The sequence below is a fragment of the Homo sapiens genome, chromosome 3, assembly GCF_000001405.40.
Source record: "Homo sapiens chromosome 3, GRCh38.p14 Primary Assembly".
Lineage (NCBI taxonomy): Eukaryota > Metazoa > Chordata > Mammalia > Primates > Hominidae > Homo > Homo sapiens.
Genome location: NC_000003.12, coordinates 137325604 through 137341028, shown reverse-complemented (window position 1 = coordinate 137341028; position 15425 = coordinate 137325604). Strand labels below are relative to the sequence as shown.

Here is a 15425-nt window from a genome sequence, read left to right as displayed (position 1 = left end):
TATATTACTTTCTCTAATTATTACAACAAATTTTCAAAGCAGTTGGCATTATGCCTATTATGCAGAAGATGCTTCTAATTTCACCTCGTTCTGGGAACTGGCAGAGTTAAGGGGTTAAACCAAAGACACTACCTCCAAAAAAAAGGTCTTTGCCTGTGAAAGGATTGATTATGTTTGTTCCCATTTTCCTCCTACAAAGGTCTCTCCTGTTCTTTATTGACTCACAGAGGCTGCCTCTATTGCTGGAATCTTGGTCCCATTTGTTAAAATTACCTCTATTGAGGACACGGCTTGTATTGAGGGACCACATTTCTTCCCTGTGGAGCACAGTCCTGCCATAATTTAGCCTCTCCACTGCATAGGTCTTGATGACTTGGGTTATGTAGGATAAGGGTCATGATCAATGAAAAGTTCAGTTTATGAAAAGTCTGCAGGACTTTATGGACAACTGATAACTCACTTCTTCCAGAATAAGATGATCAGAATATCTGAAACATGAACACGTGAGATAAAATAGTTGAAAATCTGGCAGGAAACACTGAAGAATTTTGGATGGCATAACGGGTGGGGTAGGGCTCCATTTATTACAACTCCCATCTTTGGATAAGCACCATATTGAGACTTTTAAGAAGCAAAACTATTCCCCCAGGTTTCTACCTAGTGGTAAGGGGTAGAATAGGTTGACACTCTATTTTGGTTTAGCCATATTGAGCCAAAGTGTGTGTGTATGGCTGGGACAATGGGACACACATAAGCATCTTCTCAGAGGGCCATGATGGCTATGGCACATAATGTATTGGACTGTGGAGGGTTATTTACAGAATTTGGGTTTGATTGATATGATCAAGGCCAACACCAAATTTTAACTTTCACTTCTTTTGCTCCTTATGATGGGCCACACCAAGACCCATTCTCTCCACCTTGAGCTCTTCAGTACATTATTCTTGGTCCAACACATCAAAGTGGTGGTCATAGGTACTAATCCTATGCAGGATTATACTTGCAGCTCAGGAATCACGAAAAGCTTCATAGGCTCCTCTTCCCATTCCCAAGTCCTCTCTTTTCATAGACATATTGAGACCTTTCCTTGGACTATAGAAAGCAAGGTACATCCCCAGTTCAGATGTGTCTCTGCAAATCAAGAAGTGACTGTTTCAGGCCAGGCAAAGACAATAAGCATTCATTAGGAATGAACACTCCCAGAAGCCAGGTGACAGCCACGTGGTGTGTGAGGTATGATAAAGCTTAAATTCTAGGAACTTATCCTAGAAGCTCAAGGATTTCTACTGATGAGACAGCAATAATAATATGGTTGTTTGAGACTTTGTTGGGGAGGGTCATCCTTGGGGAGCCCCAAAGGGTCAAGTCCTGATTTGGGAGTATAAAGTTCAAATGTTGCAGCCAAGGCTCCTGTATTAGCTTGTTCTCACGCTGTTAATAAAGACATACAGGGTATAAAACTGGATAATTTATAAAGGAAAGAGGTTTAATTGACTCAGAGTTCACCATGGCTGGAGAGGCCTCAGGAAACTTACAATCATGGTGGAAGGGGAAGCAAACATGTCCTTCTTCACATGACAGCAGGAAGGAGAAGTGCCAAGCAAAAGGGGGAAAAGTCCCTTAAAAAACCATCAGATATTGTAAGAACTCACTATCATGAGAACAGCATGAGGGTAAATGCCTCCGTGATTAAATTACCTCCCACTGGGTCCCTCCCACAACATGTGGGAATTATGGAAACTATAATACAAAATATGATTTGGGTGGGAACATGGCCAAACCAGATCATTCTGCCATGGCCCTTCCCAAATCTCATCTCATAACATTTTAAAACATAATCATGCCCTTCCAGCAGTCCCCCAAAGTCTTAATTTATTCCAGCATTAACTCAAAACTCCAAGTTCAAAGTCTCATCTGAGACAAGCAAGCCCCTTTCACCTATGAACCTGTAAAATCAAAAACAAGTTAGTTACTTTCTACATACAACAGAGGGGACAGGCATTGGGTAAATACACCCATTCCAAATGGGAGAAGTTGGCCAAAACAAAGGGGCTACAGGCCCCATGCAAGTCTGAAATCCAAAAGAGCAGTCATTAAACATTGAAGTTCCAAAATGATGTCCTTTGACTCCATGTCTCACATCCAAGTCATGCTGATGCAAGAGATGGGCTCCCATGGCCTTGGGAGGCTCCACCCCTCTGGCTTTGCAGGGTACAGCCCCCATCCCAGCTGCTTTCATAGGCTGCTATTGAGTGTCTGTGGCTTTTCCAGGTGCATGGTACAAGCTGTCAGTGGAGCTACCATTCTGGGGTCTGGAGGACAGTGGCCCTCTTCTCACAGCTCCACTAACCAGTGCCCCAGTTGGGGCTCCAACATCACATTTCCCATCCACACAGCCCTAGCAGAGGTTCTCCGTGAGGGCCCCACCGCGGTAGCCAACTTCTGCCTGGACATCAAGGCGTTTCTGTACATCCTCTGAAATCTAGGCAGAGGTTCCCAAACCTCAATTCTTGTCTTTTGCACACCCCCAGGACCAACACCACGTGGAAGCTGCCAAGGCTGGGTGCTTGCACCCTCTGAAGCAACATCCTGAGCTGTACCTTGGCCCCTTTTAGCTATGGCTGGAGTGACTGGGATGCAGTTCTGAGACTGCTTACAGCAAGGGCACCCTGGATGTAGACCAGGAAGCCATTTTTGTTCCTAGTCTGGGCCTGTGATGGGAGGAGCTGCTTTGAAGACCTCTGATGTGCCCTGGAAACATATTTCTTATTTTCTTGGTGATTAACATTTGGCTTCTCATCACTTATGCAAATTTCTGCAGCCAGCTTGAATTTCCCCTCAAAAAATGGGTTTTTCTTTCCTATTGCATTGTCAGACTGCAAATTTTCTGAACTTTCATGCTCTGTCACCTCTTGACTGTTTTGCTGCTTGGAAATTTCTTCTGCCAGATACCCTAAATCATCTCTCTCAAGTTCAAAGTTCCACAGATCTCTACAGCAGGGGCAAAATGCCAGCAGTCTCTTTGCTAAAGCATAACAAGAGTCACCTTTGCTCCACTTCCCAACAAGTTCCTCATCTGCGTCTAAGACCACCTCAGTCTGGACTTTATTGTCCATATCACTATCAGCATTTTAGGCAAAGCCATTCAACAAGTCTCTAGGAAGTTCCAAACTTTCACACATCTTTCTGTCTTCTGAGCCCTCCAAGTCTCTAGGAAGTTCCAAACTTTCCCACATTTTCCTGTGTTATTCTGAGCCCTCCAAACTGTTCCAACTTCTGCCTGTTACCCAGTTCCAAAGTTGCTTCCACATTTTCAGGTATCTTTATAGCAGCACCATACTCTTGGTACCAATTTACTGTATTAGTCCATTCCCATGCTGCTATAAGAATATATCTGAGACTGGGTAATTTATAAAGGAAAGAGGTTTAATTGACTCACAGTTCAGCATGGCTGGGGAGGCCTCAGGAAACTTACAATCATGGGAAAATGGGAAGACAACACATCCTTCTTCACATGGCAGTAGGAAGGAGAAGTGCCAAGTAAAAGGGGGAAAACCCTCTTATAAAACCGTCAGGTCTCATGAGAACTCACTCACTATCATGAGAACAGCATGAGGGTAAATGCCTCCATGATTAAATTACCTTCCACACTGTCCCTCCCAGGACACATGGGGATTATGAGAAGTACAATTCAAAATAAGATTTGGGTGGGGACACAGCCAAACCATATCAGCCCCCATTACCTTCTTTACAGTTTTCCTTCTAGCAGAAAGGGGACACGGGACTTTTATATCTTATCCAATTTCTGACATGCTTTCTTATATTCTACTTCTTCATAAAAATTATTTTAGCCATGCCCACAATTTAGAAACAGCATGTTTGACCATACTCCCAATTTCATTCACCAATTTTATAGGATCTATTAATTAGTTCATTCTACAGACACTGATTAAGCACCTATATTCTGTGCCTGCTCAATGTTGAAATGAATAACTTAGTCTTTGGGTTTCAAGATTATCTATCTCCATGTATACCTATGTAACAAACCTGCACATTCTGCACATGTATCCCAGAACTTAAAGTATAATAAAAATTTTAAATTTTAAAAATGCACATGAAGACCTACATTTTATTTTAACTAAAATATATAAACATACATTAAAATTCACCATCTTTTCATTAGTCCACTGATTCCTCGGCTTTCTTGTAATAAACCATAATCAAAAGGCACAGTTTCTTTAAAGCAAGGCAAATCTTTACTTAAAATAAAAAAGCAATCTAAGAGGAAAAAAAAAAGAGATTATCTATCTCAGGACCTAAGACTACATTCAGAAAATTAGACACAAAAACACTCAGGATTTTCCAGCCCAAAAATTCTTTATGACTAATAATGTAGAACAACACACATGTTAAATTATAAATGTATTAAACCTTCTTTTGCTTTTTCTTATTATTTTTCCCTTTCATCAGCCAGTTGGAAAATCCATGGCCATTTTTAATTATTGTAAAATTGGAGGCCAGATGTTTTAGGGAACATATGTATTTTACAGACTCGTACCTAAGACATAGATACATAGCCTGCAAATAACCCATAACTCCCCAGCTTCTGAAAGAACATACTCACTTCCACTGTCCTCACTCTGGCCATTCTGAACTGCAACCCAGCTATGATAAACTGATGACACCATCTGCTGTTTGGAGCAGGGAACAGTAGTGCTTACAGTAGTTTTAATAATTAAAACTTAATTTAATTTAATCTGTCTTCCCTACTTCCTTGCCTTTCCTACCCAACCAGAAATGTGCACATGCTGAATCCATGTTTTCTGTCTCTCAGTACTCCCCTGCTTTTTGTTAGTAAGTTAGTGAGCTAGTTTGTTTACACATATTCTGATATATAGTATCAGGAAATATTTTTCTCACATATATACCAACATCTGCTTTAACAGCTTTGCTCATATTGTTCCCCTCTTAAGAAAGTCTCCACCTCATTTCTCATGATCTTCCTCACTGATTTTCTCTTAATTTTCTTTGGTCTATACTGGAATTAGAAATCTTCTCCTTATTATTATTTTTAAATATGAGACTATTTCTAATGATGCATCCATGTCAAGAGAAAGAAAAGCCAGGAGTTCCCTACCAGGTACAAATCAAGGCAAGTTTAGTTCTCCGTGCAGAAGGTCTGCCCTTTCTTGTCCATTCCCACCTAAACACTTTTGCTACTGCTGGTTCCTTGTTCCAAGAAAGTCCTTCCCTCCTCTTTACTTCCCTAACGTCTCAGTTTCCCACGTGACCTCCTCTAGGAAGTCCTACGTATTCCAGAACCCCTCCTCTGAAACCCAATGCTTTAATCATTGTATTCGTTTCCTAGGGCTGCTGTAACAAATTACCACAAACCAGATGGCTTAAAACAAAAGAAATTTATTTTCTCACCATTCTGGAAGCCAGATGTCCAAACTCACGGTGACAGCAGGGGTACACTCCCTTCCAAGGCTCCGGGAGAGAATCTTTCCTTGCCTCTTCCAGCTTCTGGTGGCTTCTGGTCTTCCTTGGCTTGCAGCAGCCTGACTTCAGGCTCTAACTCCCTCTTCACACAGCCTTCTCTCCTATCTGTGTTCTCTTCTCTTCTTAAAAGGACACCAGGTATCAGATCCCACCCTAAGCCAATATGATCTTATTACTAATCTTACCTTAATTACATATGCAAGGACCTTTATTCCAAATAAGATACCCTTTTGAGATTCTGGGTAAACATGAGTTCTTTTGGGAGACACCACTCAATTCACTACAATCATATACTGTTTTGGCTTTATTTTAAATCTGTTTGCCTTGTTTTCAGAATAAAATTGCGAATTGTGTAAGAGACTTCTGAATCTCTGGTAGTAACTAAAGCAGAGGATAAACTTAGATTTTTTAAATTCTTTTAAATTTTATTAAGAAACATTCAGTTGTGTGTGTGTTGCTGTTGTTGTTGTTTTTAGTACTTTCACTCTTTTTTTTTTTTTTATTTTTTTTTTTTTTGAGGCAGGTCTCACTCTGCCAGCCAGGCTAGAATGCAGTGGCATAATCATGGTTCACTTTAGCCTTGAACTCCTGGGCTCAAGCAAGCCTCCCTCCTTAGCACCCTGAGGAGCTGGTACTACAAGCGCATGCCACCACACTCAACTAATTTTTTCTAATTTTTGTAGAGACCAGGTCTCACTATGTTGCCCAGGCTGATCTCGAACTCCTGGCCTCAAGCAATCCTCCAGCCTTGGCTTCCCAAAGTCCTGGGATTACAGGTGTGAGCCATCACAACTGGCAGTACTTTCTTATAGAAGATTTTAAATTGGTTTCTGATTTCCATTGAAGTCTATTTCCTTGAAAGTTCCTTTCGTTACATTGTGCATTTTACCTCATGTAACTTGATGATTCTCCCTCATCAATTTTATACTCTCATAATTTTATACTTCCAGAATTGAAAATATCTTCCTTATAAACATACCTTGAAATTGTCTGTGTGTTTGTCTTCACAGAAAATCAGTCTAAACTATCCACAGAGACCCGGATACTCCCAACATTTCAGAGAATCTCCAATTTTCTCTCCCTTGAGCCTATAATTACTCTCTTTTTCTGTCACTGTGAGTGTCCTCATACAGTGCTTGAAGGTAATGAAGATGGAGACAATGCTGTTTTCTTTCTCTCTCTCAGGGACATACTAAGCTTTTTTTTTTTTTTTTTTTTTTTTTTTAAGAGAGATAGTCTTGCTATGTTGCTCAGGCTGGCATCAAACTCCTGGGTTCAAGCTATCCTCCCTCTTCAGCTTCCCAAGTAGCTGGGACTACAGTTGGGCATCATTGCGCTCAGCTCATACTAAGCATTTTTGAAAAGGGACACTAAACTGGAATGCTACACCAGCTCTGTCTTTCTAATTCTCATTTGTCCTCCAATACTTAGCTCATGTGCCCATCTCTCCTGTAAACATGTCCTGGTTCTTGCCAATGGAAGTTGTCTCTTCCTCCTCTGTGCCCTCTTGTGATGGGCATGTGCCCCTAGCATTTAATACATACCCCTTCATTGGGAAACTATTGGGTACATAGCTCTTTCCCACCAGACTATAAGGTCCATAAAGGCAGAGGTCATGTCTTATGATCACCTCCTGAACTTGCACAGTTTGTGTTCCCAACATGCTGAAAGGTGTTCACCGAAGCTTTGTATATGTTTAAATATCTTTAGATGTAACTCCTCAAGCATTTTAGTAATGCTAACTTTTACTTACAGCCCATAACCAAGCCATGGCTGGACATGACTCTAAATGGACAACTGTCCCTGTGCTATAGTGGCTATGGTAAGCTAAATAAAATATTATGTCTAAGACACATCTTAAAAGCAAAAGAAAAGTAGAAACATGTAGGATGAAGAAATTAGTGAATAGTATAGTCCCAAGAGTAAAAATTAGATAAAAATAGAGAGATTTTGTCTCAATTTGGAAGTCATCCCCATCCTCCAGCAGCACTATCCAAATACAGAAGGTCTGTAGAGCAAGAGAGCCCTGTGTTCAAATCACTGCTTGGACGCTTACTATATGTATGAACTTGAGCAATTATATTTAACTTCCCTGAGTTTCAGTTTCCTCTTCTGTAAAATGAGAATGATTACTTCATGGGGCCACTTGGAGGACTGAATTAAATGAGATATGTTTACATAATGAGAAGCACATTGTCTGGCTGATAGTGGATATCAACAAATGGCAGTCATGGATGTTTCATAGACAAAGAAAGGGCTCAGTTTCTGCAGAAAGCATGAATAAAAGCTGCTCTGTGAGCATTGCTAGAAGTATGTCCTTTTTATAAAGTGGTTTAGTCTTGAATTTTATCAAACCTATCACTGGGGTATGGCATCAGATTTGCATTTTTGTGTAATATATGAAAGATTTTTTTCCCAAAAAATATTCTTAAGGTTCCAAGGTTTAGTGGTATATCAGTGATAAAATGTTCAAGTCTCATATACCCACAAATGAGAATGATGATGGAATAATATCCCATCTAGTCACTCATTTAACTAAGATTCACCAAGTACCTAATGTGTATGAGAGCCTCTGCTAATTACTAGGAGAAATGAACCAGACCAGCCACTGCCCTCAGCGGTTCACTGTCTACTCAGAAATAAAAAAGAATGCAATAGTCTTGTGTTAGGGCATGGAAGTGGCTGTACCTGCCATCCATGGTTTTGTTTGCCCAGAACACAGTCTTCCTGCTTCTGGAAAATATTCTACTCTAAACTATACAGTTACCAGGGGAGCAGCTGTCATACATATTCCACCTTTGTGTCAGTTAGATTTGATGTATAACAGAACACCCAAAAGTTAGAGGCTTAAAAAAACAACCATTTATGTGCTTATGAGTTGGCTTTTTGGTCTGAACTTATCTATGTGGTTCTTCTGATCTCAACTGAATATACTGATGGCACTGATGACTCACTAGGCAGCTCTGCTTCTTGTGATTGGTTGGTTGTCAATTGGGGTAACAAGGATGACTGAGCCACATATCTCTCATTATCACACAGGCTAGCCCAGACTTGTTCACATGGTGGTGGCAGGTTTCTGAGAAAGAGTGGAATTGTGCATGATCTTTTGAGACCGAGGCTTGAAACTGGTACCACGTCACTCCTGCTGCATTCTTTTGACACTCAATCAAGGACTAAGTCCACCCTAGATTCAAGTGGTGGGGAAGTAGACTCTACCTCTTGATAGAAGGAGGTACAAAGTCACAAGGTGGGAAAGATCATGGTCACCTCTGCAATCTCCCTCCCTGGCCAGATTGGAGGGTATGTGCTCAGACTTGGCCAATCCTAGTACCTTTGATGCCTCTGTATCCCCCAACCACGGCTCGCTTTCTTGGCTCAGGAATAGACATCTGATAACTACTAGATTAATCAGGTATCTTCTTGCTCAGGACTTTTCCCTTTGGGGTCAGAGAGCCCAGGTATCAGTTTGTCTCTGGTGGGGAAAATATGAAACTAGAGCTATCGGCAATGTGTTTGTCCATCTCACAACTCTACCTTTGATGTGGAAAAATCCTTACCATCAGCTGCTGCTATGGTCTGAATGTTTGTGTGTTCCCCCAAAATGTATAGGTTGAAATCCTAATTCCCAAGTCGACTGGGGCCTTTGGGGAGGTGACTAGGTCATGGGGGTGGAGCCCTCATAAACAGGATTACAACCCTTTAAAAGAAGCCCCAGAGAGCTGCTTTGACCCTTCTACTACAGGAGGACACAGCAAGAAGGCACTATCTATGAACCAGGAAGAGGGCACTCATCAGACTTGGAATGTGCTAGTCTTGATCTTGAACTCTACAGCCCCCAGAACTATGAGTAATAAATTTCTGTTGTTCATAAGGTACTCTCTCTATGATATTTTATTATAGCAGCCCAAACAGACAAAGATAGTTAGAAAGAAGGAACTCAACATTTGCAAAGAAGCAGAGGCAAAAAAAAGAGAATTTTAAGGATATGCCAATTCTCTGGTTAGATTCCTTGAGACCTAGCTGCCTATGCCTTTTCTATGATTACCAAGCCTTGTAATCAGTTGACTTTCTGAGCCAAGCTAGGTTCTGCCACTAAGAGAAGACAGAGACAGCCACATGGAAAAGAAGAGTGAGCCAGGGAGAGTACAGTGTTCGGACAAGTGAAGATGTCCACGGAAGGAAATTTCAAAACAAGGAAGAGCAAAAGCAAACAGAGATGAGTAAATGATAACCATGTCTAAAGCATATGAATGACTTTGCTGAAGGCTAGGTTTTAGAGGAGGACGAGAAAAAGATGAGACAGAAAAAGCAGTTGGATCAGAATCTGCAGAGTCTTAATGATATAATAAAGAATTTGAACTTTGTTTTATACTTGGTAGGAGATTTTGAACAGGGAATGTCACAGTTGAAGGAGAGTTTGAGGAGGATCAATCTTGTGATGGTTGGCATAATGGATTTTAAGAACAGAAAATGAATTTGGGGATAAAGCCTGCAACAATGATGCCTTGAATTGGGGCTGAAGAAAAGGGGAGGAAGAAATAAACAAGGGGTATGCAAGAGGGAAAGAAAAAAAAGCCAGGAATTGGAAACAAACTGAACCTATAGACAGTGGATAGCGACATGAACAGCCAAGAAGGCTTGCCATACAGCGTTGGATCAAAGATGGGGGATGTTTACAACAGCAGAATAATTTATACGATACATTCAGCAGGAGCACAGAAAAGAGGTTGGGGCTGCAAGAGTTATCAATCAGTTACCAAATATCAATGGAGGACCTCCTATGTGTTCCACAGTGAAAGGTACCAGGAACACCACCAATGCACATAAATGTCTTCTGGACTTGCATTCTAATAAGGACTGTTGAAGTGCTGGGAGCAAAAGAGATCTACAAAAGAGGTGTCCTTCTAAACTCACAAACACAGCATATCATATGGGGAGGGGATGCGGTTTTGATCCTGCATAAGTGATTGAGAAAGAGAACTTGGAATTAATTGGCCCAAGCCTCCTCCCCACAAACCTGGGTGCTTTCCACTGGTTAATCCCCTCTCACCTGCCCAGCATCTCGCTTTCCTTTCACTTCCCCCAAGCAATTCATTTATGGCTCCTGTTTTCCACACAATTGGAGAAAATTCAACATTTGTACTTGTCAACTCAGTAGCCATATTCAAATCACTATCAGAAGACAGAGTTACAAAAATCTTTAATACCTCCAACCAGACCAATGATAGCAGCATGAAGGAAATCCTTTGGTGAGGAGGGAAGAACACGATTCACCAAGATTGAGAACCGAGTGCTGCCTCTTAACAAGACTTGTGTCAGCACTCCGAACTCAGGGATGGAGCAGATTCCTAAAGCAACTGGAAGCCAACTGGGGGATATCTGCATGGGAGAGGCTGGGAGGCAGGTGGGGGAACCAAAGGCAACATGGGCCAGGCAGAAATGGAATTCTTTGCTTTCAGGTCCCTTTTGTCTACCTATTTTCATCTTTACAGAACAGTCCCTTCCCTGTCCTTCCCAATTCCCCATTTTCTTTTCTTTTTTCCTTTCTTTAAATGCAGTCTAATCCCGAGTGTGAACTGATGTAGTTTGTGTGTTAGGGGGAAAAAAATCTCTCTCTTTTTCTGCCTTTTTTTTTTTCCTTCTTCTTCCCCTGGCCCAGTTCATTATTTTTCTTTCTTGTCACTCAGTGTGATAGGTTGAACAGAAGTGCACAGATGAGCACTGAAAACGGTGTCACAAGGCCTTAATCTAGTCTTTAATGCCTGACTTCAGAGATGTCATTTATCTTCTAACTGCAGCAGGCATCCACCAACTTTATCTCTAATAATATATTGATGGATTAAAAGGGTCGGGCAGGAGACCGGGCTGGAAAAATTGCTTATTGACATCAAAATACAGTGCCCTCAACCTGATAAACATGGAGGGCTCGTGTATCTCCCAGAATAGTTGGCGTAGCTATAATTTTTTTTCTAACATGTTTCCCCCAGGTTCATGGGGTGGTCCAGTAAAATAAACAAATACTAAACATTATTTCTATGCTGACATGGCCAAGGAACACGCGAGATATTTTAGGAACACATTTTTAATGTCAGATTTATAAATATACCTCCCTTATTTATGACATGTTATAGCATATTCTGTGACAACTTGAAACAGGCACCTATAGTCTTGGCAGCATTCAAATATTCTCCATGCAGTTTGTTGGAGCAAAAGCTGCCAGTAGCACCTGATTATGCATTTGGATGGTCGTTGGTAAAGCAAGGCTATTTCAGCAGAGAGATGAGGCCAGTAATCTCAGAATGTAAATGAAGAGAGCCTTTGGAAAGGTTTCCTTTGTTTATTGTTCTCTTCATTTTATTGTTTGGTTGGCAGCAGCATGTTTCAAATCACGGTCTGCTTTCCCTACACAGGCTGTGTCTACACAAGTCACTTTTAGAATAAACCAAAAAATAATCATAGACTTCTAACTCCTACTTAGTGGGTAATTCTTAAATTGACTATTTTCAAAATTACCTGTTGTTGAACTGAATTTTGTCTATTTTTTTTTTCACCCTATGAATTAGTTGACATGTGAAGGTACTCTCCCAGGGAATTATTGTTGTTAATTTTGTAATCATCAATGTTGTTGACTTTCACCTGATTTTCAAATGAAAGTTACTTCTTCAGTTCAATTTGCTTGTTTGGAAAGCAAGCTCTAAAAATGTCTTTCTCAGTACTAAGAGTGGGAAGGTGACCTATTTTAGCTTCCTAAAAAATTCCTTCGTAATTTTATATTTTTTCCTGAGTACAAAGGTAAGATCATAAAGGTTGTCTGGCCGACTTGCTTCTAAAGAAATTCACAGAAACTACACATTATTCCAGCATTTTGTTAATTTAGTAGGAAACATTATTCTGTTGTACCCTTGCTGATGATGACAGCACCTTATTCAGTACCATCAAAGACAGGATCCTGGACATCAGTGTCCAGAGCCTAGAGGTGCCTACAGAGAAAATCTCTCCACAGTCAGCTCCTGAATGTTCAGGCACACCTGAAGCCAAGCTAACTGCTGTCTACTCACTGCTGCTGTGCTGCCCGGCACAAGGGACTGAACCTCTCTTGCAGCAGTTTCCCCACCTGTAAAATGGAGATAAAAGTTGTAGCTATTTCATAGGGCAGTTGTGAGGTTTAAATGTGTTCATATATTAAAAGTGGTTACAGTAGTGTCTAGTACATGGTGAATACTCAGTAAACCTTATCTATTACTATTATCGTCATCTTTAAACTTATTATTGGGCTTGTAATGACATCTCATCCCAAAGGAAGAATGACTTAAGATATAGCCAGAAAAGGAGGGTGTCTACTAGAACAAAACATGTTAAGAAGAGGGGAGAAAAAAAGCTGGAGCCAAGGAAAATGCCAAAATGAAACAACCCAAAAGCTGGCAAAAATCCTAAAGAAGTCATTAGCTGTAGGGTAGCAAAGCTCTTGTCAACAGACAAGAAGAAAAGAAGCACTAATATGTACATATTCTAAACCAGGCATCAGAGTCCTCTGACCTCTTCCTGTAAGGATTCCTGGCCAAATTGTGGAATATATTGGGGGAAAGGGGATTTGTTGCATAAAATCCTGCTACTAAAGTGCGAGTTTTTAAAGTGACAGATTATGGAACAGATTGAGAAAAAAAAAAATAAATTGGGGAAGTAGAATGGAGCCCATTCCAGAATGACCTATCAATCTTCCTTGAATGCTTTGGAATAGGCTCTATATCTAAGAAATGTCTTCTGTAGTAAGAATACTGCAATTAGCACTCGTAAGTTGGCTACATGGAGAGAATTCAAAACGCAAAATATAAAAGCTAATAATCCAAAACTAATCACTTAAAGGCTTCTCTATACAGAACATTCAAGGGAGGATTAAGGATCAATGTATCTGAAGTACAAAAGCTGAATTAGGAGTAAAAGTAATAATGGACACGATTGACAGGGCACTGACCATTTACCAGGGCCAAGTCCAGGTCTGTCTCACTCTAAAGCCATGTTCTTTATTTCAACATTTCCACTCTAAGCTGCATTCAGACTTTGACTGCAGAAAGCAAGGGAAAATAGTGAGATTGCCAAGGTTCTGAGCTGGTGGGTTTTATGAGCAAGGGGGAAGGGAACTCAAAGTTTCATATTCCTCCACCCAGGAAGACAACCATTGGCTGATGGTCCCCAACCTTAAAAATTCTAATCTAGAGATTTACTCCTTCCCCCTCTGTTTTCAACTGCTCTGGGGATAAAGAAATCATCAATTCTTAGTGCTGTCATCAAATGGGGTCAGCCTAAGGTAAGACAATAAAAAGAGGGCACATAACCTGGAAACCCAGTTAAAATATGAAAGTTCCATCCACTCCCATGATTCACTGTTTACCCAGAAAATTCTTGCAACTTCTGTTTAAATTTATATTTTCAATATTTATTAAATTCAGCCATCACACCTTTCTCCAGCAATTTAACTGGTATGACTTCCTCTCTGGTTAATGGAATCAAGCAAAAAAGCAAAGAGAAGATAAATACAAATCAAAGTTCCTTCCAATGTGGGTTTTGTCAGCATGGTCCAAAGAGAAGCCAGCCTTGTGGGTTAATACAATACTATAGGCAAGGTGCCAAGTGTTTCTGTACGTAATTCACCTTTAATTCTTACCACAACTCCGTAAGATGAGTATTATTATGAGGAAATTAAAGCTCAAAAAGAATGAGTAGCTTGCCCAAGGCCATACAACAAGTAAACAGCAATGTTTTTAAGATTCAAACCCAAGCCTTTCTGACTGCGAAGTCTAATCCTCCTGTTTGTTGTGCTACATCATGGTTGGTGGCATTTATCTGTACTTTGGGATGCAGTAAGACCATAGGAGAGGAGAGCATATCATCCTCCCTGCCTAATAAGCTCTGTCTATAGAAAGAAGCACAAAAAATATGGGCATAATATCAAGGTTCAAAGTTATTTCTTTGGCTTCACACCATGACCTTTTATAAAACTCAGTTCTAATTAGCAGGATTTCCCATGACTACAGAATGTTTCTTTCTTTTAAATTCATGTATGTTGCCCAGAGACCCCTAATGTTGCTGGAACTTCATTTTGATATCCTGATGGTCCTGTCACCACTTTTGGATGCTCCCAAGGACTGAACTTTCATGTGACTAGAGGTGCCACTTTCTTTTGCATGTTCAACAGTGTCACTGATGATAGCTCAATTTTCAGAAAGTATAAATCACGGTGGAAAAATCTCTCTCTCCTTACCTGATTGTATGAGTCGCCCCTTCATTGGAGCATGAAGCACATGTGAGGGCTGGTCATGAAGAGCAGGAGGACAAACAGTGGCCACAACTGCAAAGGCCACAAACACAGAGCACAGAAAAAAAGGGTGTTGACAGGGCACTTGGTACAGAGAAGGCAACCAGGCACAAATGCTGGATGGACCAGAATAGACTCTCATTGAACTATGAAGGGTCAGGTAAAACACAAGGGAGCTGTATGTCAAAATACAGCCTCATGAGGTTAAAAGGTCAGTATTGAGATTAATAGGGCAAACAAAACGAATACAGAATAGTAAAGACCAACAACAATAAATATATTAACCCACAAGAAAAAAACAAAGAAAAGAGGTCTACCCTAATGCTGTAACATCAAAACCAAAGCAAAAGAAACAAAGGATTCTGGAGAGGAACAGAAAGGTAAAGCATAATTGGACACCTTTGTGAGTTCTCCAGAACACCCTTTGGGGCTCCTTCCCCTCTGTTGGAGAGCTGATGGCAACACTCAGTTTAGCTTCTGTCTGGCAGGTTCACTCCACAGCCTCTTGCCGCTGCAATCTCCTCACCCAGTGGCCAGCCCTTGTAGGTGACAACTGGCAAAATATTCAGTCAAGGATATTTTGCGCAGTGTCTACTTGATCCACGTGAAT

General features: G+C 40.7%; 5 annotated features.

Moving 5' to 3' along the window:
* Positions 8182-9381: an enhancer, noted in NCBI's record as "MED14-independent group 3 enhancer chr3:137050490-137051689 (GRCh37/hg19 assembly coordinates)". NCBI's record gives its function as "activates an origin of replication core promoter dependent on BRD2, BRD4, P300/CBP and CDK7 cofactors, and independent of MED14, by STARR-seq in HCT116 cells {active_cell/tissue: HCT116}" and the evidence as "EXISTENCE:reporter gene assay evidence [ECO:0000049][PMID:35650434]".
* Positions 8482-8631: an enhancer, noted in NCBI's record as "active region_20597". NCBI's record gives its function as "activates an Ori minimal core promoter by ATAC-STARR-seq in GM12878 lymphoblastoid cells {active_cell/tissue: GM12878}" and the evidence as "EXISTENCE:reporter gene assay evidence [ECO:0000049][PMID:35858748]".
* Positions 10570-10619: an enhancer, noted in NCBI's record as "active region_20596". NCBI's record gives its function as "activates an Ori minimal core promoter by ATAC-STARR-seq in GM12878 lymphoblastoid cells {active_cell/tissue: GM12878}" and the evidence as "EXISTENCE:reporter gene assay evidence [ECO:0000049][PMID:35858748]".
* Positions 10570-12327: a biological region, named in NCBI's record as "VISTA enhancer hs209".
* Positions 10600-12327: an enhancer, noted in NCBI's record as "VISTA enhancer hs209". NCBI's record gives its function as "enhancer in: midbrain (mesencephalon)[6/8]" and the evidence as "EXISTENCE:transgenic organism evidence [ECO:0001131][PMID:17130149]".